The sequence below is a fragment of the Homo sapiens genome, chromosome 11 (assembly GCF_000001405.40).
Source record: "Homo sapiens chromosome 11, GRCh38.p14 Primary Assembly".
NCBI classification, from domain to species: domain Eukaryota; kingdom Metazoa; phylum Chordata; class Mammalia; order Primates; family Hominidae; genus Homo; species Homo sapiens.
Window position 1 is genome coordinate 119,898,653 of NC_000011.10, and position 24,147 is coordinate 119,922,799.

The window sequence follows — 24,147 nt, forward strand, 5'->3', positions numbered from 1 at the left end:
TCACTTGACCTTAAGCTGCCCACTTGACATTTTTAATGAAACATTTTGTTTTACTTAATGATTTCATGTACTTAGTCTAGTAAGACCTTATCCCCTACCAGTAAAGAGCTTGCCAAGCTTTGTGGATAGGCGAAAATCAACATTCTTTCTCTGATGGTATACCTGCAGGAAAAGAGAGACAAAGGAAGTTTTAACAGTTTATTCGAATTTAAAAAGTATGCATCATCTGAAGAGTCTGGGTTGCAAACTTCGCAAGACAGGTTGATCGCATGATGTAAGGGGGACATTCTCTGATGGTTTATTTCCTTCGTCCTTGTGCCCATCCCATTGCTGGGTGGTGAACACTTGTCAAAGAAACTCATTCAAATGCTTTCTCACCCAATGTGTTGGATTCCCTGTGATTCATTACATTATTTTCTTCCTGAAGAAATCTGAACACAGAGAACTTGAAGCTGCAGGGGGAAAACATTGCTGATTTGTTCTAGGACATGTAGACATTCATGTTCCATCGGGACAGGAGGATTGAGCAGATGACAACTGGAGACTGTGCTCATTTCCCATCGATGAAATGCCCTCGGCTCAGTAGAATCCCCTATTTTAGAGAATTGCAGAGCTATTTGCTGGAAATAAAGTGACAGCTTCAGAAGTGATTCACAGATTTGGATGAACATGAAGGTTTAGGTTTTTCAGGTCATCACCTGGTGTCCAATGGCAGGAATATTCTGAAGTGCCAAAGTTAATCACTGTGGCTCCCACGGTATCCCCTGAGTTTGTAATGCATGACTCTGAGGCCCACTTTTGGGTAATGGTGAGTTCTGGGAAAGTATCTTCTTCCACCTGGAGGCAGAAATCATGTGTGCCCCTGCTAAAGTCCACAGGTCTTTTTTAAGAATTTCAGGCATTATGTTCTCACTCATAAGTGGGGATTGAGCAGTGAGAACACACGGACACAGGGAGGGAAACATCACACACTGGGGCCTGTCAGGGGGTGGGGGGCAAGGGGAGAGAGAGCATTAGGACAAATACCTAATGCATGTGGGGCTTAAGACCTAGATGACAGGTTGACGGGTGCAGCAAACCACCATGGCACATGTATACCTGTGTAAGAAACCTGCACGTTCTGCACATGTATCCCAGAACTTAAAAAATAAAAAGAAAAAATAGAAAAGAATTTCAGGCATTAAGAACTATTCTCAGCCACTTGATCAAAACTGATCGATGGCAAGCACCAGGCCTGTAACTGTGCACTTCAGTTGGAATAAAATGAATTACACGGAGTTTGGGGTATGGGCTTCCCCTCTCCCTTTCAACATTTGTATGGCTGCTAAAAATCTATACATTTAAATATACTTCACCATTGTTATTCATAAAAGCTGCATGCAGTCTCTACCTCCCCAGTTTCGATCGCATAGGCCACAACTCAAAGAACTGGGGCATCTCTGGGCTCATGCACTTCCAGCAAGCAGATGGCTGTGTTCCCTAAACTGAGCAGTATTAAGCTTGAGGAAAGAGAACAGTCAGAGGCTAGGCTGAGATGGCTTTTCCATAAACCTGGCAGAACATGATCAACGGGACACAGAGGACTGACTGTTAAACTGGGTCTACAATAAAAGGGCAGGGATAAATCAGTGTCAGAGACCTAGAGAGGTCATCTTCATACTTAGCAATGGGCCATCATTTCCCTCCCTGCAGCTCCTGCTCCCCACCTGGCCTGTGGCTGCAGGTGGTCTTGAGCCCTCTTTGTGTGACCCGCACCATACTGTGGCTCTGCCTCCATTTTTCCCTGGGGCCCTTGGATCTTAGATTTCGCCTTCCCCCGTATCATTCTCCAGGTGTCTGTCTCCTATGCCAGCAATTGCCCCATCTCCTCCTGCTTATCTCCTCCAGCCTGGCTGGTTCCCTCCCGTCCTCTTCTCTGAATTATTCCCAGGATATTCACTCTCCAAGGAGAAGTATCCTTTGATGCCCATAGTTTTTCTATGATTGTATCAAAGATGGATAGATGGACTAGATAGTTGTGGTTACAATAAAAAAAGTTCATGGGCAAAATGGGCCACAAAGACACACAGCCTCGAATGTTCCACTCTCAGGCAGTGGATATTAACACTTGCCCTGTGTCACAAAAGGGATTCCGTGTGCTGGGCCTCTCAGTGGACTGGTTCACACATCCCCAATGACAGAGAAGCAGGAAGCAGGGTCCCAAGGTCTGGCTATAGCCCAGATTCTAGCCAAAGTAGAATTTCTTTAATAATTCAAATTTTGTCTTTATAATTAATTAAAATGTTATATGCTTCTCCAGAATATATATTTATCTGTTTTAAAATATGCTTGTCTCTAAAATCTTTGGATAAAATATATATGCCTTAGGAAAATATGTACTTCTCACCGTATTACCATGTAGGCTCAGGGGCAGAGTTCCCTATTTGGGAAACATAGACAATCATTGTCACAATAAATTTTTGCCAGTAATGCAGTCATCCCCGTAATGCAGGAGAGGAGACTGAGGCTCAAAAAGGTTAAGTGAGTTTTCTGAGATCACCTAGGGCTTGGATTAAAAATTTAGTCCCAAATGCTTATCCCTCCTCTACCCATTCTATTAAGTACTTCGCCTTCCTCTCTGGCCTGTAGCCCTTGTCACTTGCAGAGGCAGTGTGGAACTTCGAAGCTGTTCAAGACATCCAATTTTCAGAGAGCGTGGAGGCTGCAGCTGGCCTGTCACCGAACAGCATCAGCTAGAACTTTAGAGGGAATGGGGCCTCCATTCCTCCCATATGTAGAACTGGATTGTGGATTCAGCTGCTGTCTCCAAGAAGGACAATTGTCAGAGTCAAGGAAGGTTAATGTGCCCTTAGCAGAGATGTGCCATCTGAAAGCCTGGGGGCCACCTCTATAGAGGATCCACCAGTTCCTGGCAGCCTAGGCAAATCACAACTCTGGCCTGGCCTTCTCCTCCGAGGGGTGGATGCAAATGGATGGACCGGGGCTGTTTTTCCTTCAAAGTTCCAGGCATTGTCTTAGGCAGGTGCAGCTTCCAGGAGGAGATAGGTGGTGGTGGTAGTGGTAGTAGTGGTAATCTGGGCCCCCTAGGGCTGACTCCCAGGCAGCAATGCCCAGATGGTCAGGCTGACCTCACTTCAGGGAGTAGTGGGCGATGCAGGGCCAGGCCTGGGGCTCTCCCTGGACAGCTTCCAGGACAGCAAGTCTCAGCCACCTTGGGCAAAGTCATGATGATGTCCAGGAGGGCTATTTGATGACCTCTGCTCCTGGCTGTCCTTTGTTGGAATTCCCTGCTCCTGCAGATACAAACCAGATGCCTCTGTCCAGCATGATGCCTTCCTCTTCAGCTCATCTCCTACTTTTCCACCTGTCATTGACCTGCGGCCACTCCAAAGCCACCACTCTCCTTTGTCTTCCTCATCAGTTCTGGCTGTTGCTTCTGCCTGGAACGGCTTCCCCAATGTGACTGCCTGGGTGCACCCACTCATCCTGCAAGAGTCAGCTCCGGTGCCACCTCCTGTAGGCAGGCCTCCCTACCCATCCCTGCCTGGGCCAGGCAGGTTTCATCTGTGCTCCCACAGCCTCCTGTGGCCACCCCATGTCACAGCTGTTAGCTCTACTCCTCTGCTCTATTGCTGGACTTAGAGCTTCTTGAGGCCTCTTTTTCTCCAGTGCCATATGAGAGGTGCTGAGTAAACAGTTTTTGGATAAATAAATGACAAAGATTGCCACCCTGTGGGATTTGGCTAAGCAAGAAGAATGGGGGCCTGCCAACAGTAACAATAATGGCTAACGCTGTCATTTATTGATTGCAGACTGTGTGCCAAGTATGATAACAGGCAGTTTGCATATATTACTTCATTTAATCCTCAGCACAGCCTTTGAGATTGATCATTTCCATTTTACAGGTCAGAAAAACTGAGCCTCAGTTTTTCCAAAGTCACAAGACAAGGGGGTAGCCTAGCCAGGATTTGAATGGAAGTCTGTCTGATGGAAACATTTATGCTCTTAGCCAGCATGTTAGTCAGGGTTCTCCAGAGAAACAGAACCGATAGGGTAATGTGTGTGTCTGTGTACGTATTAGTCTGTTTTCATGCTGCTAATAGAAACATACCCGAAACTGGGAAGAGAAAGAGGTTTAATTGGACTTACAGTTCCACAAGGCTGGGAAGGTCTCAGAATCATGGCAGGAGGCAAAGGGCACTTCTTATGTGGCGGTAGCAAGAGAAAAAATAAGGAAGAAGCAAAAGCAGAAACCCCTGATAAACCCATCAGATCTCGTGAGACTTATTCACTATCACGAGAATAGCACGAGAAAGACCAGCCCACATGATTCAGTTACCTCCTCCTGGGTGCCTCCCACAATGCGTGGGAATTCTGGGAAATACAATTCAAGTTGAGATTTGGGTGGGGCACAGCCAAACCATATCAGTGTATATGTGCATGTATCTACAAGAAGGGATTTATTAGGGGAATTGGCTCCCACAATAGGCCATCTGCAAGCTGGAGACTCTGGGAAGCCGGTAGCATGGTTCAGTTCACATCCAAAGACCTGAGAAATATGAAGCTGACAGTGTAACTCTCAGCCTGAGGCTGAAGTCCTGAGAAGCTGTCAAGGCTGCTGGTGCAAGTCCCAGCGTCCAAAAGCCAGATACCGTGAGCTCTGATGTCCAAGGGCAGGAGAAGATGTGTGGAGCAACTCAAGAGGGGAGAGACAGAGAATCTGCCTTTTTATTCTATCTGGGCTCCCAGCCGATTTGATGGTGCCCGCCCACATTGCATGAGGGCAGATTTTCCTTACTCAGTCCACTGATTCAAATGCTAACCTCTCCTAGAAACACCTAATAACACTTTTCCAGCTATCAGCGTATCCCTTAATCCAGTCAAGCTGACACCTAAAGTTAATCATTACAACCATCAGCTCACAGCAGCTAGAGCTTGAGCTTAGACAGGTGCCTGGTGGCCCTGGTGTCTCATACCACAGTCTGCAGTATGGGCTGACCTCAAACCATCTCCAGTCCTCCCAGGCAAGGCCGTGGGCCCAGCAGGCTCTTCCCTGGGGACCTGCTTCTCTGTGACTGAGTTGCCCAGTGCTCCCTTCCTCGCTCCTATCTTGTGTCCCCATAATCCCTCCCCTTGCCTCCCCTGACTCCACCTGATTGTGGGAAAGGAAAAGGTGAACATTAAGGTGTATGAGCCATGATTGTTTGTTTGTGTGACAAGAAGCTGATGTGTTGGTGAGTATACTCCCATCCACACTGGGCCTCATCCTGTCTGCAGGAGCTCTGACATTGATGAATGAGTCTTTCAAAGTCAGTCCTCACTTTGCGGAGAAGCCAGCTCTCCTGAGAAGTCTGGTTGCCAGCAGCAATCAGCAGCCCTGCCCACAAGCCCGTGCCACCTGGGCTGGACACCGCCTTTAGCAATCCTTAGAGTAGCAAATGAGGGAGGGGACACCGTGCGTCTCATCCCTGTGCCCCCAAAGTCAAATTAGAATGCCGCCTCCACCTTGGGCATCACCGACCCAATTGTTTCCTTTCCTTCTATAGCCACGGCCTCTTGAAGGGCTCCTCAGCCAGCAAGCCTGAGCCAGCTCTTAATTATGTGTGCTAATAATGGGGGTGCTGAGGCCTAGAGAATCTCAAATGGCAGATAATCAAACATTCACTCCAATCTTCTTTGCACTGTGGTTATGCGGTTTTCAGCTGATGTCTGCACGTGGGCGGCCTTAGTGTTGATCAGGTTCAGAAGGAAGCCACTCTTTGAAGAAGGTGAGAGGCTGCCATCATGGCTCCAGGCCTTCCCCACTTCTCTGCAGTCTATACTGGGGATGCAGATGCCATGCCTTTGGGAGGAGAGGAGAGGAGGAGATAAAGACAAGTGTGCGATGGGTTATTAGTTGTCAAATGGACTTTCACTCATGTCATTGCAGCTCTGAGCAGAGGAAAACGTGACAAGTTCTTGCGCATTGTAAAGAGAGGGGCATGTACTGGATATTTCCCAACATACCCCTCTAGCACCATTCTTCTCTATCCTGGTCCTGCCAGGCTGACTGCTACCAATATTATCAACTGGCTTCCCTCAACCTCAGGCTTTGCACTGGCTTCAGCCAATGGGAGGCACCTGCAGAAGATCCAAGGGCAGGAGGAGAGAGGCCAAGGTATTTATTTCCCTGTTTCCCTCTCTGCTTGGTCACGGTCCAAGGGTGGCTGAATCCCTCTGCTAAAGGCTGTAGCACCAGTCCAACAGCTCCAGATCTCCCAAAGTTCCAGAAACTTCCCATTGCCCTTGCCCTTTTAGATTCAAGATACTTCCCCATGGCCTGTGGCTCCCTGAACTTTCCCCACACCTTTGTAAAGTCCCTTTGACTCTGTCCAATTACCCCTTTGAGTATGCTGTCTATTTCCTACCAGAACCCTGCCCAATAGAAGTATTGTCAGACGTAGCCGCGGACTTATCAAGAGAGAAAAACTGGCTCACAGCCCTCTCCCATCAGCCAACCCCATCCTGGTAAGAGAAGGCCTGAGACTGTGAGTCTTTTGGGGAATACAATGAGTTTCCCATCCCCTGTCCATTCCAAGCCAAGTAAAGGAAGCTTCAGGAAAATCACATATTGAAAGAGGGTGTTGACTACAAATGGGAAACCTGACCCCACCCACTGCTGGGTACTTAAGCTGTAGAAAGTCAGAGGCCTGTCCCTAGTTCTGCTGGAGTGGAGCTGAGAGAGGCTCTTGGGAGCTGCCTGCGTGGGCAGAGTTTGAAGGCTTAGGATATCTCCTGAAGGCCGGATGGGCCAGTAGAGATTAACGAGGCTTGAGCTGTCTTGAAAGATGGCTGCCCTGAGAACTGGCTAGAAGAGGAGACCAAGGAGGCTGTGTGGGTCACCCTTGCATTGGAGATGAGGGGAGTCGTGAGAGATCAGTGGGGAGCCCATTGCCCTGTTGGGGAACTGCCTGGTGGAGCTTTCCCAGGGATATTTTAAAGAACCTACATGGGAGAAAGCCTGCATTTGGACATCTTCCAGGCCATTCAATAGCCAAAGAGAACCACCAACAGCTTGAATCAAAAAAAAGGTAACCTTTCTCCCTGCCCTGACCCTGAAGGAGTCAGGGTATGCACAGACCATGAGGGAGGAAGAAGGGGAAGGCCAGGAGGGAGAATGAGCAGCAAGCTGGTTTCCTACCCATTGCAGATTCTCTAGGCTGGGACGGGGTGGGATGGAGAGAAGCCTTAAATTGAATGAGAGAGTGAAGTTTTGATTTAGGTCAATCTGGATTTTTTTATAATGGGATTGAATGGAGAGAGTTAATAGTCAAGAACCTTTGAAAGGTTAAGGGATTTGATCTGCATACCATGGGGCGGGTGTTAAGCAGGGGTGAGGAGGGGGCACTCAGAGAGCTGGTTTGAATGGCTGTAGTGACAGGACAAAAGGCTGTTTCCTGATTCTACTCCCACCAAGTCCAACTATTTAATAAATTGTCTCTAAAGCCACTTAAGTCTTTGAGATTTTGCAAGACTACAAATTAAATAGAAACATAAAGGGAAAGTATTTCTCTAATACAGGATTGAAAACAAATCAAGAAGGTGGTGATGTTAATACAAATAAAAAGTTAAAGACAAATTGACAGGTCTTTTCTTGTCCCCCAAACTACATTTAGGATAAACTATAGATGAAATCCACATTTATTTCCATAGTTTTACAACTTGTACTGAACAGGGGCTCTGCTAGACCATGTTGGGGGATGCAGGTAACTTGGACAGAGATGTAGAAATGAATAGGATACATTCCTTGCTTATCTAGGATCTTGCGATCTTGTGGAATACTTGATTGTATCCTGTTCTTTATTATTCCCACAAGCGGTAGGCTCCTGAGAACAGAACCCATAGCAGATAATCTCTTACACATTTACTAACCATCTGCCGCAGGCGAAGAACCTAAAAGTCCTAAGTCACATGGCTCCTAGCCCAAGCTGGGCTCATGGCAGGCATGCAACAAAAACTGAAATTTCACGGGGTGGGTGTGATGGGCCTGCACAAACCCCTCACGTAGAGCTGCGCGGGGAGTATGAGAGCCCTTGGTTTGCTCTGGGCTGGCTTCACACACCTTCTTGAGTGTTTATTTTCCAAGCATCTATCAAATTCCTACTCTATGCTAGGCATAGAGGACTGTAGCAATGAATAAGATCCCATCTTTGCCTTCAAAGAACCTGATATCTAGCAACAGAGATGGATAAAGTAGACCACAAACAGCAATAAAACATTTTAGGGGCCATGCTAGGAGAAAGCCGGGCTCAGTGGAGGTCGGTGAGAACAGTGATAGGTTTGACCAGGGCTGGGGACAGGAAAAGGCTTTACATGGAGACGGTGCTTAAGTGAAGGAGGAGAAGGATGTTCTAGGCCTAAGGAGCAGCTCAGAAAGATCCCAGGGGCTTGCCTGGGAAATGAGGTGTGAGGGGCTAGGCAAGGGTTATGCCTGTGGCAACAGGCAAGCTGGCCAGGTCCTGTTTGGCTTACAGGAAACGCTGAGAAGTTTGGACTTTACTATTTAGGGAGCTACCAGAAGGTTGTAACTGGGGGAAGTACTGCCATCAAATTTGCATTTTGGCAAGATAAACTCTGGCGGTGAGTGGAGCAAAGGTTGTCAGATAGGATCGAAAGTGGGGAAACCGGTCAGGATGCTGTGGCACTGGCCCCAGCAAGATGGAATGTGGGCGTCCACTTGCAGAGGTCAGGCCAGAGGCCAGAGCTTTTAGGAGGAAGACTTGACCAGAACTGACAGATGGGCTGGAGGAAATGGAGGGGCAGGCATAAGGAGCTCCCCCAGAGCTCTGGCCTGGACTGGGTGGCTGGTGGACAGGTGGGAGAACCTCATTCCAGCTGGCTCTGATCTGGCCGCAATCGACTCCTGGCCTGCAATCACCCCCAGGGCCTGGGTAGGCAAGGCTGGGATGCTGCCTCTGTGCTCAGAATCAGCCAGGCTGAGCCCCCTGGGCCCAGGATGGGCATCTGTACTCCAAACCAGGCATTATGCAAGTCCCCCGCTCAGCTCAGCGCTGTCTCCAGGCCAAGAGGCTTCAACGGAGTTCCACAAAATTATATTTTCCTCTTTGAAAGCAGCCTTTGCAAACAGAGCATTGCTTAATTGAGAAGATATTTAGATCTGTGTATCTCTTGTAAGGTGCAAGGCTCCCCATGGTGACATTTTAATGGCCAGGGGCATGGGGAGGAAGGTAAACACTCTTTACCTTTGCCGCAGCCTGGGAATTCTCCTCGTTTGTCAGATATGATTAGCTGTTACCCTTCTGGTCTTCCATTGTTATTCAGGTCCCTGCTTGTCACAGTTACACCCCTTTGGAAGCTCACGCCTCGCTTTCTCTCCAGCTCTCTCTCCCTCTGGTGGCACCCTGACTGGCTAGTAATTTATGTATGACAATATGAGACTAATTCGGTTATTATGTCAAAGGGAAATTGAATCTAGGGTTTTAGTGCCGCATCTGGGAGAAATCTTCAAATGAATCTGGAGTGCAGAAAAAAGCCTCAGAGTTCGATTCATCCGCTTGTCACCCTGTCGGCAAGATTAAGTCATTATAGAGGGCTAAGCCAGGTCCAGAAATGGGAATGGAGAGGAAGGAGATAAAGGGGGATGAGAAAGGGGTGGGGGAGCAGGAGCACAGGGGCTGGGGAGGTGGAGCAGGGCTGGGTGGTGGGGCGGGGGGTCTGGCAGCCAGGAGGGCTGGCTGCCTCTCCAGGGACTCCCTTGTTTACCCACAAGGCGGCCCCAGCAGTGTGAAAGCCAGGGGACATATGGGCAGGGAGGAAGTTCAGTGGGAGGGCATTTATGCAAACATTCGCTTGTCTCTGCTCCTGGGCGTCTTAAATATTGTCTGAGTTAAAATCTGGCTTCCCTGCCTTCCACGGGATTAGAGCACTTTGCTCGGTGCCAAGTGAGACGGTGGCATTTCTGCTGAATACCTAGGTTTGGGCAAGAAGGAGCTCCCTGAGCTCTGCACAGCAGCTGGGCACAGGGCTGCACAGGACAGGGCAAGGTCCTAGTGCGCAAGGAGGCACCCTATGTCTAGGGAACTGACCATGTGTGTGTTTACTCTGTTTGCCGAGAGAGGATGGGATAGAGTTCTTGGAGTCTGGGATGGAATCGTGGGGAACGAGAACCAGCCAATGTGTGTGTGACCTGAATATAAAAAGAATTCTGAAAATACTTTATAAAGTTGTTCTGCCCTCCAAGACACCCCAACCCTGCTTCCATTTGTCTGATTGTTAACTAAAGTTGTTTTCTCTGTCATGAGGTTGTTCCCCATCCTAGACCTCAGTGGAAACACTAGTTAGGTTTGCTCTGAGCATGTTTTCTCTCTCTCGCCTCTACCCTCATGGCTCTCCCATTCTTGGCATGCTCCAGGCTCTAGGTAGCTCTGCTACCTGCTTGTCCTTCCTTCCGCATAGGAGGGTCATGGGGCACTTGGCAAAGGGAGCTACCCTCACCCCAAGAGCATGAACTGCTGTGCTGGTTTTCCTCTAGACATTTTGGTGCCCGGCTTTATCTCTCTGAACCTCAGATTTTGCCTCTCACAAACTGGGATCACCCACTCTCATGGGGAAATTCTGAATTGCATGGTTACCATGACTACAAGTTTCCCCTCAAACCTTCTGGGCATCCTTCTTCATCTTAGAATTCTCCATCCAGGATTCCTCCAGCCCAAGGAAAGGGCACCAGAGGTCTCCATGGCCATGCCCCTGCATCCAGGCAGCAATCCTGAAAAAGGAGCACACCAAGAATGAATTAAGGCCACTTCCACCAGCTCTCTCTTTCCACTTCCCTTGGCTTACCCACGGAAAAACAACTTTTCTTTTCCCCCCCAAGAAAAAGAAGGAAACTCAAATTAAAAATGTAAGAGTTCAAAATAACCCTCAGTTCTTAACTCTCATCAATTTGACTGTTTCTTTCACTACCCACGCGTCGGCTTCGACCAGACACCCACCCAGCAGTACTTATGCAAAAGATATTGGCAGCTGTTACTAACCCAAGACGCGAATTGGTGCTCAGAGTGGCTTTGTTACCATCCCTCTGTCTGTTCTTTGTGTCTCTGGAGATTTTCCTCTGTCTAATGAGGGCCCTGGTGCCCTTGGAAGGGCCCTAGGCTGCTGCAGTGCTGCACCCTCACCTCCCAAGTGAGTAAGGCCATGTGAAAGTTGGCCATCCCCCACGACCTCCACCACGTCATTGAATGCCATGTTTCTGTTAATTGGACTGTGTCATCTCAGGGACCGTTATTTATTAATAGATGCTCGGAGCCCTGGACAAGTTCATCATGATCACCAGAGGACTTGAAAGAGGCCAAGGGACAGATGGGTATTGCCGAGTGTGAGGGCAGTCTGCTTGAATTCCAGGCACACCCTCCTTGATGATGCTGCAGAAGGAAATCCACCATGATTATTGGAGAGAGGCCAGCTCCGTTGATATTAGAGCAAGCAGTCAGTGTGTGTGGACCCGCCCAACCCACTGCAGGGCAGGTGTCTCCTCCAGGTCATGATGTCCCAGGTGGGGCTGGCTGCCCTCAGGTTTGTGCTGATAAGCCAGGGGCACCTGGATAGATGGAGAAGGTCTGGTTCCAGGGAACAGCAGGCTTATTACTACCACAACCCTGTGTTCCCAGTGTCTGCTTGGGTCCTGGCATGGGTTTATCATTGGAGTCATTTCATTCATTGTTCTGCCGCTGAGCCCAGCTGCAGATAAAATAGTCTGAAAAGCTAGTTGAGGGGAAGGCGCTCCCTTTCTTCTAGAGTTTTCTGAGGAAGAACCTGACACAGCTCCCTATAGTCACGCACAACAATGCTGGCAGCCCCACTCCTGAAACCCTCCCAGCGCGTTTCATGCTGCAGATGTAGTCAGCAGAAGCAGATGGTCAGGGTGGTCTAAGCAGACAGGTAGGGGCTGGAGACACCCAGGGAGGGCCTCATGCTGGCTCCTCCACCCCCACGTGGGTTGCTCACTGGCTGTGCTCCCAGGACGTCCCTCACAGGAGACTGAAACCAACACCCTGGCCACTTGTTGGCTTAGGGCCCCTGAACCCATACATGTCCTTGAAAAATTCATGCAGGCTACTTACTCCAGGCTGAGGAGGCCCAGCTTAAGCCTCTGGGCAGCAGAGCCCACACTCCCTTCCACCTGTTGCTGCCATGGGGCCACCCAATGGTGCTTTTATACCAGCAGGGCCTATAGGGGAGCCAGTTCCAGGAGCAGGCCAGGACTAGGCACCTCACATGCCTCGCCCTCATCATCCTGGCTTTGCCAGGGAGGGATGGGGGAGCCTGCAAATGAGGCAGGAAAGAGTATACAGACTATGTGGTCCCAGCAAGAGGCCAAAGCCAAGGGAGACATCAGGAGAGGCACTTGAGGACATCCAAGCCGAGAGACTCAGAGTCTATATAGGGAGTGGTCCCCAAGGACACTGGCCATGGAACTGAAGGTCCAGGACAGAACTTCAAGACCCAAGATAGCGGCACTTTCCCAGCTGGCTTCCAGAGCCCGGGGCGAGGCTGGACCTGCAGGTGGAAGAGCAATCCTTCAGCAGCAGAGGGAGGAGGGGGCAATGGGGAGAGGCGCGGCACCAAGCAGACTATTCCAGAGCAGGACTGGTGCCCAGGCAGAAGGAAGACCCAAATAGACCAAGACTGGGTTCAGGAATGAAATGGGTTAGTGGATCGTCCTCTTCTACTTTGTTTCGCTTGGAAATAGATTTCATTTTTAATTGTATAAGTAATATGTGAATATATTCTTGTAAAAATTCAAACAAGAAAAGTGAAGCAAAAGTTCTCGTTATTTAACTCCACCATCTGCCCTCCCCAGTCCCACTGCCCTCCCTAAAGGGAATGACCATGGTCAGGTTAGTGTTTAGATAGGTAAGGTAGGTAGATAGATGATAGAGATAGATAGATGGGTAGATAGATGAGGGAGATAGATAGATGATTCACTGTTTGATAGATAGATAATTTATGTGGCTTGCCTTTTTCACCTGACAATATTCCTTGGCATCATTTCCATCCTTATGGAGGGATCCATTTCACTCATTTAATTGTTGCATGGAGTTGCATTGATCAGGGGTAACATAGTTTAACTGTAACCCTATTGATGGATGTTTATTTTGTTGTTGTTTTCTTATTGTTTCACAATAAGCACCCCTTTACATGGCTGCCACAGATTTTAAAATAGGCCCATGAGTGACTGGTGGGGGCAGGAGTCCCTTGGGATCTTTTGGGGAACTGGGGTGTGGAGAAACTGGGCTAGATTGAAGCCAGGCCACTAAACAGTCTCCAAATGACTCCTGTGTCTTGGCCAGCTTCTCAGAGCAGCTGCTTCCAGTGGAGTCTGGGGTGCCTCCCACCCTGGAGCCTCTGGTGCCCTGTGTCTCATGGGGGTCATCCCTTGCTGACCCTTAGGCCTACAGCTTGTACAAGTGGCCACATTCCACCCATGAATGTCTTGCAGGAAAAGGCACAAAATCTATGTTCTGGCCTGATCCAGGCAGGTTAAAATCAGAGCCCCGCATTGGAGTGAGAGCCTGATAATAATCCTCTCACTGCACCAATTTCCAACAGATTTGTTCCCTCTCAAAATGATCACAAACAATATTCCTGCAGCAGCCCCAGCCAAGGGACGTGTGCTATTTTGAGCTGTTTTTGGTAATTGGTTAATGCGGAGGATGAGTGGGAGGAAGACGCAAGGGCCTTTGTAGACGTGGTGCTGATGTCATGGCTGAGTTTACAGAGACATGGTTTCCTATGTAGCTTTGGGAACAATTTCTCCCCCTGATCACGTGTCTCCGGGACAGTTGAGTAGCAGAGTAGCAGGTGGCTCCTTTGTTCTCAAACCTGTCATGCAGTCCCAGGCTTCACTGGGCTATGGTCTTAGTGCATGGTCTCAGAAAGAAGTCAGGTAAGGGGGGGCACAGTGTGGCTTACACCTGTAATCCCGGCATCTGGGGAGGGTGAGGTTGGAGGATCACTGAGCCCAGGAGTTCAAGATGAGCCTGGGTAACATAGCGAGATCCCATCTCTATAAAACAACTACAAAAAATCAGGTAAACGACACAGGCATGTTACAAAAACAGAAAATGGAAAACCAAAAATAATAATAATAAAGATGATACAGGCAGCCTGCCAAAGGCCCAGGAGGTCAGCAGTGAAAGGCAGAGGGTTTCCTTGTTTGTGTGCTATGAAAAGACACCTCTGAGTTCCCTTCTCTTTCTCCTGCCGCGTCTCCTTGCACGTTGATGGAGTGCCTTCTACAGTCCTTGCAGGAAAGCCATGGTATCTCATAAGAGCAAGGGCTCTAGAGCTGGGCATTGGCTGAGTTCAAATCCTGCCTCTCACTTTTGATACCTAACTCTGTGCCTTGATTTTCTCATCTGAAAAATGGGCATGATAACATACTTCCCCTAGAGGGTTATGGTGAAAGCTCAGTGAGATGAAGCCCAGTGCCTGGCACGCAGCAAATGCACACAAGGTGGCGGCCATTAGTATTACTTATTCGCCTGTGTTGTGATGCTCTCTTTAGCTTTCTATTTCTTCCACTAGGCTGTGAGTTCTTTCCAGAGATCTTAACCATGTTCTTTATTGTCTCCTCAATACAGGCCCTCAAAATAGGCTGAATGAAAAGAGGTGTGATCGATGAAAACTGGCCGCTCCTTCTTTGCAACTCCTTCCATTAGGTGGTGGAGTCTACGTTGCCCTCCCTTTGATCCAGGCTGGCCACACAAATTACTTTCACCAACAGAATGCTGTAGAAGTGATACTGCATGACCTCTGAGCCCAGGCCTTAAGGGACTTTGCAGCTTCTGTTCTTGGCCTCTGGCTGCTCTGTGACTACCATGGAAGGAGTTCCACACTAACCTCCTGTAGGGTAAGAGACACGTGGAGGCAGACTGAGCCTCCCAGCCATCCCACTGAGGCTCCAGGCGTGCCAGTGATGTACCTGGCTGAAGCCTGGCCCCCAGTCACCCACTGACGGCAGCTGCAAAGGTGCCCGTGATGAGGTGAGCAGAAGCCTAGAAGAAATTGCAGAATCATGAACAAATGGATAGCTGCCGTTTTCAGCCACCAAGTCTTGGAGTGGTTTTTCATGCAGCAATAGATACATGAGACAGGAAGCTTTGGAAGAAGTCATTTTAGCATTCATAAGGGACAAGGAGGGCAAGCTGGGCCTAGCTGGATTGGATAGTCGAATTTCAGAAGGTAGCATTGCCTAGATTCAGAAAAAGACCATTGCAATCCCACAGATAGGAGCTCTAAAAGTAAGGTGGCTCAGGAGGGCTGAGAGCATCTCAAACAGTGAGTTCTGGTGCTATAATCACAAATGAAGCTGATAAAGAAAACAAAGGTATTGTCATAGAAAAACACTGTGATACCCAAGGAGCCCTGTCCTGAGCTCAGATTATAAAGGGGCTTGCAGGGTATGGAGCGGTGGGGCCAGTGTCTATGTCCCAGGAAGACATAAACATGACACAGACCTGTGTGAAGGGTACCAGGGGCACCGTGGTCCACAGTGAGCTGGCAGTGCCAGCAACAATAAAAATGGGCACATTGAAAATTTTTGAAGCAAGAAGAACAAGGGGCGAGCCCCTCTCTTTATGGTGGACATTATCATGTTGAGAGAGGTTTGAGCAAAGCAATCTTCCCACTTTGCTTGTTTCCTGTCAAGGACAATATTCCCTGATCTGGAGAAAGTAGAAAAAAATACAGCTGAGAGAACTGAAGCCCAAATAAGATGAGGCAGTAGCAAGAACATGCTTGTTGTTGTTCGAGATTTTTATTCCCCAGCCAAAAATGTCTTTTATTCTAGAGCTCAAGAAGAGTTCTTGCAGGATGGTGGCCACACTAATAGTTCTCGCTATGGCAGGGTTTCTCCAGGGTGGTCACCTGTATCAGAATCCCACCCCCACATCCCCAACACAGCTGCTTGGCAAGAGCACAGCCTTCCCAACTCTCTCTCCCACTTATAATGTCAGACTCTAGGGTGGGGATCAGCATTTAGTTAGTGAACACATGCGTACGACTCCCTGACACTGTTCTAGACAATGTAGACATAACTCTCCTTTAATCTTCATAACAATCCTATGTGGGAGATTCTATATGACCTCTATTTTAGAGATAAGAAAACTGAGGCCCAGAGAAGTTGAATGGCCAGGGACATGGAAGGTGGCAGAGTTGGAACTTGAGCATAGGCCATCAGTCTAGCTCCAGAAGCCATGCTCCTAACCACTGGGATATGTGGCCTAGTGGATTATGGCCTAGTGGCCCATGGACTCCAGACAAGAACCACAGGCATCCTCCTGCACAGTTACATTTGCAAACCACTGCTTTAAATAATACCCAAACTGCCTGTAATCCCAGCACTTTGGGAGGCCAAGACAGGAGGATTGCTTGAAGCCAGGAGTTTGAGAAAAGGCTGGGCAACATAGTGAGATGCTGTATTAGTTCATTCTCATGCTGCCAATAAAGATATACCCAAGACCGGGTAATTTATAAAGGAAAGAGGTTTGATGGACTCACAGTTCCACTTGGCTGGGGAGGCCTCACAATCATGGTGGAAGGCAAAGGAGAAGAAAAGGCACATCTTACATGGTGGCAGGCAAGAGAGAGCGTGTGCAGGGAAACTTACCTTTATAAAACCATCAGATCTTGTGAGACTTAGTCACTATCATGAGAATAGCACAGGAAAGACCTGCCCCCATGATTAAATACCTCCCACCAGGTCCCTCCCACAACATGTGAGAATTATGGGAGCTACAATTCCAGATAAGATTTAAGTGGAGACACAGCCAAACCATATCAAACACTATCTCAGAAAACTAAAAAACTAGGAATGGTGGCACACACCTGTAGTCCCAGCTTCAAGAGACTGAGGCTGAAGCAAAAGGATCACTTGAGCCCAGGAGTTGGAGGTGAGGCTGCAGTGAGATATAATTGTGCCACTGCACTCCAGCCTGGATGACAGAGTGATAGCCTGTATCTTAAAAAAATTCTGACACCTGTAATCCCAGCTACTCAGGAGGCAGAGGCATGAGAATTGAGTTGTTTGAACCCAGGAGGTGAAGGTTGCAGTGAGCCAAGATCACGTCACTGCACTCCAGTCCGGGTGACAGAGAAAGACTCTGCCTCAAAAAAAAAAAAAAAAAAAAAAGAAAAGAAAAAAGAAAAAATCCTGAGAATGGGAGAGATAGAGAGAGAAGGAGAAATGCTGTCTCCAAATATAAGACCCTAGAGTCTATCATCTTTGGTAAAGCCTTAGCACAGTCATTAAATAGATGGTTTGTGATCACTTAGAGAAATGGTGAGTATCAGGAACCAGCATAGGTTCACTAAGCATGAGCCAAGTCAAATGAGCTCATTTATTCTATTGAGAGCATGGTTGGACCAGAGCATCTGGAATGTAGCAAACATTTTCCAACATCATTTCCACCCCCCGTGATTGGTTCATTTTGGGCCACTAAGCTGATTGAACCAATGAGTCATGAAGACAGACTTGCTTGAGGCTTTGGGGAGAAAGAGAATCCAGTCTGTCTCTCTCCTTGAATGGGAACAAAGTATGTTGCCCCAATTACTCTGGCAGCAACCTTAAGAGCCTAAGGGGAACCACATTATGCTATAAATGGTAGACAAGAGATGGATGGAATCTGAGTCTCTGCTGACATCATTGAGCGACTGAATCAACCAACCTTGATGCTGCATCTATCTCTAGGCTTCTTATTATGTGAGACCATCAGTTTCTTTATTGTTTAAACCACTTTGATTTAGGGCTTCTGTAACCTGCAGAAAAACATATTGTAACTAATACAAGGGGAATACCCTAGATATAATGCATTTCAGCTTCAGAAAATTATTTTACTCCAGTTTAAGATATCCCTGTGAGCAAAATGAAGAAATGAGAACTAAATAATATAATTAGGTAGATTCACACCAGTAAATCCAAAGTTGACCAGAGACTGGGTGGAACAAGCCAAGTGGTACCTTTAGAACAGCCAGGTGCATGCTCAGGAAAGTTGAGTGTACCTGCCTGTAGCAGGAGCCCCAGGCCAGGAGCATTCCGTCTTCTGGAATTTGTGTGGACATTGCCTGAAATGCCTCATTTGTGCCTGTGCATTCCCACGAGTGGTACATGTCTCAGGCTCCAACATTGGTATATACTTCCCTGAGCTACTGTCTTTTGCAGACCTGATGTCAAGACCTGGGTTTGTCTTCAGGTGCACTCTTGCCCCCTGGACAGGTGTGAGGTCTCCCAACTTTGGCATTTCTCCCTTGACCTTACCCTTTTCTCCTGGATTGGAACTGATCCCTGCCCTCTAAATCTTCAGAAGCAACCCCTGACATATCTTTAGTTTCAGTCCAAATATGCAGCCGTGGCTGGCATTTGATGCTGGAACCAATGTAATGCTTCTGTAACCATGCTCCACTCCATAAGATATGCAGTTATCTTATGTGAAAACATACTGTTCAATGGCATAATCAAGAGGTAGATTCTGACATGACCCACATCCATGTTTCTCTCAGCTTCTCAGCCAAGTGTACACACAAGAGATCAGTGTCACTAGTTAGGTGGTCTCTAGTGGGTGATATGAGAAATTTAGCCCTTAAATATCAGCCTGGCTGTAATCATCTCCTAGGTATAGAAAGGCATCTTACCCAATTTGCAAATGTCCCAAAGCTGCCAGGCTGGCTAAAGTACAGGCTGACAAACTACAACTTCAAAAAGATCCTAAAAGTAGTGGAATAATAGGCTGAGAATGTATTTTTTACTTAACTATTAAAGTAGCCTACAGCAGTTTATGTTAAAAATGGGCTGAGCCCGGGCAACATAGCAAGGCCCCATCTCTAAAAAAAATTTTTTTTTAATTACTTGGGTGTGGTGGCATGCACCTGTAGTCCCAGCTATTCAGGAGGCTGGGGCGGGAGGACCTCCTGAGCCCAAGATTCTGAGGCTACAGTGAGCTATGATTGCACCACTGCACTCCCGCCTGGGAGACAGACCAAATAAAACCCCGCAGTTTCTTTAAAATGGTCTATGATGTCATGTTGCTGCCCAAAAGGCCAATGGCATCTTAGGTTCACACTCGAAGTGTAATGTCCAAACAAAGCAGGTGATATCCCACTGGGAATCCTTTTGGGGGCCCATATTTGAAAATGGCTATCAAAGGAGAGGGGGCAAAGGAACAGAGGGAAGCCTCTGCAAAGCTCCAGAGCTGGGACCTGGGATCAGTCAGTGAAAGTTACAGAGAAGCAGAGGATTCAGCTTATTCTGAAGAATGATTTCCTATACAACAAAACTTAAGACACATTAATATGACAAGTGCTGTGCAAGGCTATGGGTCATTCAGTCCCAGGTTCAAATCCCAGCTCTGCCGCATGCTAAATGCATCACCACGGACAGCTCGATTTCTCTGAGACTCAATTTAAGCTACCTCACTGGCTTAATTGCAATAGTCTACCTAGAGGGTTTAGCATAGTGCCAGGCACAGCATCAGTGCTCAATAATCTACAGTAGCATTATTAATAACAACAATCAAGTAGGGTTTGAGGTAAGGTAATAGGTTCCCCATCATTGGAGTGTTAAGCAGAGGCTATGTGTCAACACATCAGGAATGTCGGAGAGGATTTGTATGCTCTGGGTTGGAGGTGGAAATAGCTGATTTCTACAGCCCCTAAAAACTATAATTCTATGATTTAAAACCATTATAAGAGCCCAGACTTCTGGTCGGTCAGGGACAGTAATCTATTACTAGGATTGAAATTCCCTGCTGGCTCAAGGGCCCAGAAGTTTCATTGTCTGAATTACTGTTCAAGCATGCCTTGCATATGCCTGTGGTCATCCACGTGTTCTGTGTGTGTACACGTGGGAGTGTGTGTGAACATGTGTTTGCCTAGAACTGTGCCCCGCTCTGTAAGACAGCCAGTTATCATGTGTGAAAACATTCCATTTAATGGCATCATGAAGGGATAGATTCTGACGTGACCCAGGTCCGTGTTCTGCTCAGCTCCTCTGCCAAGTGTACACACAAGAGACATTTCCCTCTGCTGATTTCTGTGATGTTTGTTCTTGGACAGAAAGCTTATCAATAAGGTCCTCAGACTGTCGATTCTCTTCAACAGCTGAGGGGCAGGAATGTGGGCTGGGATTTGATAACTTGTGGTTGAGACCCTGCCCAGGGCTACCCCTTCCAGAAAGAATTCTCTAAGCCCCTGGCATTTGTCTTCATCCCCGTTGGATTCCTTTTGTAGGCTTTTTGCACCCTTTAAAGACTTTTTCTCATCGCACCTGAGGCACTCTCTGCCAATCTGTTATATCAGCTCTCTTCTCTTGGAGGAAAAGCATCTGACAAACAAGTAAGTACTGAGTGGTTGGTACCCAGGAGCACTGGTCATGTGCCAGGAACTGTGCCCATCACATGTCAACAAGGGCTTGTAACTCAGCAGGAAAGTTAGAGACAACCCCCAAAGTATAAAAACCTGCTACAGTCACTATGCAGAGGTGGGGATAGGGGATACAAAGTAAGTGGCACCAGAGCTGCATCTCTAGACTGGTTTCTACCTTGGTAAGGATGAATGTAGAAATGCTGGTCCTATGGCAACTAGAGAGTGGCAAAAATATCTAGGGAAGGAAGGTATTCCTGGGATACTGCCCATCATCCCTTGTAACTGTCCAATAAAAACTCTGACTATTTTGCAGAAAGGTTCCCCAATCTTCTCTCCACTGAGATCTTGTAGCAACTGTTTAGATTGCTATTGTTCTCTCCATTTTGCAGACAAGAAGACCAAGGCTCAGGGAGGTTATGCAATGAGTCACCAGCAAGGACGTGCCAGAGCTGAGATGCAAACCAGGTCCTCGAGTTCCTGCTCTTGTGCCCTTTCCAGCACCTCTGCTCTCTCTTGGAAGCTGCCGGGGCGAGGCTCAGGCTGTGGCTGGTCCATCCTATGCTGGACCAAGTTGTCCCTAACCCTCCAGGGCTCTCTCACATCTGGGGAAAGATCTGTGGGCTTCTGGACAGCATTTCATTTGGCTACGTCTTGTGCTTGTGGCACTATGCGGGGCCTCTGGGGAACTTCTTTTGCTCACCATATTTCCTCATTTCCCGACCTGTCCCCTGCACAGCCAGGTTCCCTTTGAAATGCCATCTGGAGCAGCAATGGCCCCCAGACAGGCCGGCTAAGCAGCAGGGCAGCCACTCCCCAGAGCAAGCCTGGTGGCCGAGCCGGTGTGGGCAAAACAAGAAGACTCTTTCTGCTTCTGAATGATCTGGCCCTGCTGCCATGGGGTCCTTTATAAACTCTCTCCTGAGTTATTCTCTACTTATTGTTGTTATTGCTATTGATCCAGCCTCTAAACAGCAGAGATCCCAAGGCTCAATTTAAACCATCAATCACATTGATAATTCCTTTATTTGTAAAATTGTTACTTTGGAGACTCTCTGGATGCCTCCCAATACCCAAGAGAGGTGGGAAAATTCTTCCCTGAGGGAAACTGAGGCCCAGGGAGATGGGAAGATCAGCCAGGGGCTACAGAGCTGAGCTGGACCCGGGCTCCGGATGCTTTGTTTCTTGCTCAGCTCCTGGGGTACCGGCTCCCCTCCTGCCACGGGCTGTTCTGAGCTCATGTGAGAGTCTCAGCCAAAGCTTCTCCAGCAACCTACAAAGACAAGGCACCCTTGAACCCTTAACGAGGGAGTGTGGGCCTTTTATTCCCCCAAAGGCCCCAGCAGCCCTCAGCCCAGCCTGCCTCCCTTTGTGCTTCAGCCTCAAAGGGGATACAATGAATAGCTTTTCCACTCTCCTCCATCCCAACCCCTAGGGATGAGATCTGTGCAAAAACCGAAAGGATCTTTTTGTAAATGGGGGGGTGGGGGCTGGGGGTGGATGTAACATCACAGATGCTTGCCTTTTCCATTCTGAGAATATTGGCAGGAGAAGAGGAATTAGGGTGGTACGTGGGTACCCGAGTTTCCTTATATGCGCAGAACAACGTGTCTTCCGGTGGGGGCACCATCACTTCTTACGGCAGCCAGTGGGGAGTGGGTTCTCTTTTCTTGGGGGCTCCTGGGCCAGCAGCAGTGGCACCATCCGGCCCTTCTGCTGCGGGACAGAAGCCGATGGTGAATGTGGGCAGTGTTCATGCTGCTTATTCAGCTCCCAACGTGTTCATAGTAGCAGCATCCAGGACGGCTTCCGCGGGGGACAACAACCACAGAGCACAAGCCTCCTCCCTGACAACCCTGCCTCGCTCCTCCTCGGCCCTGCTTGGGCTTCAGGGGTGCTCGTTCCCCTGCTGCGCAGCCACTCTCTCCCCTGCGCCCCACCTTTCAGCTTTACGGCGAGGCATCCGGCCTCACCTGTTAGCAGAAGCAAACATGAATCAAGCCCCCATTTCCAATCTTCCAGGCTCATAAAACTTGCCACGCTTTGCAAGGTGGGGTGGCCCATCCCCTATTTTATCTCTGGGGGAGAGCAGGCACAGATGCGGCTGATGGATGGGAAGTTTAGAAAATGAAGTCTTGGAAATCGATAGAATATACAAGCTATGTATCATGTGAGCACCTCTTGTCTGCGCTTCAGTAAATCAAAAGTAACGAATGGCAGGCTTCCCGCAACCAGGGACCCCCGGCCTTTCGCTGAAGGCGGGGGCTTGCATAGTGATTGGGTTTTCACAGTCCAAGCACATGTTTTCTACTTCAGTAGACCTAAAAATAGGCCCTGATACTGATTTTTTTCTTTTAATATCTCTGCCCCCCACTCCCAGCCCTTTTCCTCTTTAATTTCCATCCTGTAGGCACTTGGCGTCCAAACTTCTCCTGTAGAAGCGTGATGTATTGCAAGATAAGCTGCCTCAGTGGTTCCCAGAATGAACGGTCATCCCCAGGGCTGTGTTACTGCGACATTAGCAAACTCTGATCCTCCTGCAGTTTGAATGCCTCAGCGCCTCGGAGATGATTATCTGTGAGGCTCCTTGCACCCCAGGCTGTGGGCAGCACTTGGCTGCAGAGTCGCTTGGAGGAGATTGGCACAGGGGAGTCGCTTGGAGGAGATTGGCACAGGGGAGTTGCTTGGAGGAGATTCGCACAGGGGTTGGCGGAAGCCAGGAGGCCAGAGGGCCTGGAGGTGGAGTAGGAGTCCCCTGGCTCTGCACTGCTCAGCTTCCGGCCAATATCCATCCTCTCATCCCCAAAAAACACCCAGATTTGAATCTCAAGTCAGAAGACTCCACCACACCACCCCCTTCCCCTCCTGGTTGCAGCCATCTCTGGACCCCCATGGCCTCCCCACCTTCCTTGAATATTTTGGTTTCTAGATCATTGTCATTCTCCCCAGTCCTCCCCAGCATAATTCATGGGGATTCTTCCCCCAGCCTGGCCTTTTCCTATTTTGATTTCGTCTCCTCTGATGAGCTTGTCTTCAACTGCCCCCCAGCTTCCACCTTGGCTTTGTCATTATCACCCCTTTCTACGGTTCCGTAGTCTCCAGCTTAAGCCTTCTACTCTCCAGCCCCCACATCCAGTGACTTCAGTTCACTCCTTCAGGGATCACCTTCCAGCCCCACTTGTAACTTGTCAGTCCTATCACCTGTCCACTTTCCCTTCTACTATCCCAGCATACCTGCTAACCTGCTACAGTTTCCTGACCAATCGTCGTAATAACCCCATTGCAAACGCTCTCATCCCTTGCCCCTCTTACTTCCCAGTTGCTTAGCAAAACCTCGACGGGGTTAAATCCAACTTTCCCCCTCTGTGGTGCTTACACCTTTGTGAGCAGAGTGTGGCTGGAGAACAATACCCCAAGTGTGCTGACAGGCCCACTTTGAATCGATGAGCCTTAAACTCAAGTGGGCGTTGGTTGCCGGCTGGCATCATACATCATTTCTCTGGTCCATTCATTCTCACGCTTTCCCAGATGAGTGGTCATACCTCCCCCTTTCTCCTTACACCTCCACCACCTCCCCCTCCATCCTCATCTCCACAAATAACCTTGCTGTCTAGTCGCTGAAAGAATGGAACAATCAAAAAGAATGTTCACAAACTCCCACCCCTGCAACTGCCCTCCCTCCCACGTGTGTTTCAACTCCTCTACCTCACTCGGGTTCTGTGCAGGGACTGT

General features: G+C 48.5%; 2 long non-coding RNA genes across 5 annotated transcripts in view, besides 4 other annotated features; one reads left to right on the forward strand and one right to left on the reverse strand.

The window, feature by feature from the left end:
* Positions 1-4,230, reverse strand: LOC124902772 (uncharacterized). Its single transcript, XR_007062922.1, has 2 exons — positions 4,150-4,230; positions 1-162 (listed from the first exon to the last, which is right to left on the reverse strand). It is a non-coding gene; the product is annotated as an uncharacterized LOC124902772 (long non-coding RNA).
* A 2,463-nt stretch (positions 4,231-6,693) lies between these two features.
* The window catches only part of LOC105369526 (uncharacterized), a 45,817-nt gene continuing 28,363 nt past the window's right edge, over positions 6,694-24,147 (forward strand). For 2 of the 4 annotated variants that reach the window (XR_948082.3, XR_948083.3), the window contains exon 1: positions 6,694-7,070. This is a non-coding gene — a long non-coding RNA (uncharacterized LOC105369526). Of the gene's footprint in view, positions 7,071-14,642; positions 15,045-20,807; positions 20,884-24,147 lie in introns of all 4 variants that reach the window. The other 2 variants (XR_948081.3, XR_948080.3) reach the window with 2 other exon arrangements.
* Positions 8,848-9,351: an enhancer, noted in NCBI's record as "H3K4me1 hESC enhancer chr11:119778209-119778712 (GRCh37/hg19 assembly coordinates)". NCBI's record gives its function as "activates a minimal SCP1, AML or CMV promoter by ChIP-STARR-seq in primed H9 embryonic stem cells {active_cell/tissue: H9 hESC(primed)}" and the evidence as "EXISTENCE:reporter gene assay evidence [ECO:0000049][PMID:30033119]".
* Positions 21,104-21,603: an enhancer, noted in NCBI's record as "H3K4me1 hESC enhancer chr11:119790465-119790964 (GRCh37/hg19 assembly coordinates)". NCBI's record gives its function as "activates a minimal SCP1, AML or CMV promoter by ChIP-STARR-seq in naive H9 embryonic stem cells {active_cell/tissue: H9 hESC(naive)}" and the evidence as "EXISTENCE:reporter gene assay evidence [ECO:0000049][PMID:30033119]".
* Positions 22,605-23,105: an enhancer, noted in NCBI's record as "H3K4me1 hESC enhancer chr11:119791966-119792466 (GRCh37/hg19 assembly coordinates)". NCBI's record gives its function as "activates a minimal SCP1, AML or CMV promoter by ChIP-STARR-seq in primed H9 embryonic stem cells {active_cell/tissue: H9 hESC(primed)}" and the evidence as "EXISTENCE:reporter gene assay evidence [ECO:0000049][PMID:30033119]".
* Positions 23,106-23,606: an enhancer, noted in NCBI's record as "H3K4me1 hESC enhancer chr11:119792467-119792967 (GRCh37/hg19 assembly coordinates)". NCBI's record gives its function as "activates a minimal SCP1, AML or CMV promoter by ChIP-STARR-seq in primed H9 embryonic stem cells {active_cell/tissue: H9 hESC(primed)}" and the evidence as "EXISTENCE:reporter gene assay evidence [ECO:0000049][PMID:30033119]".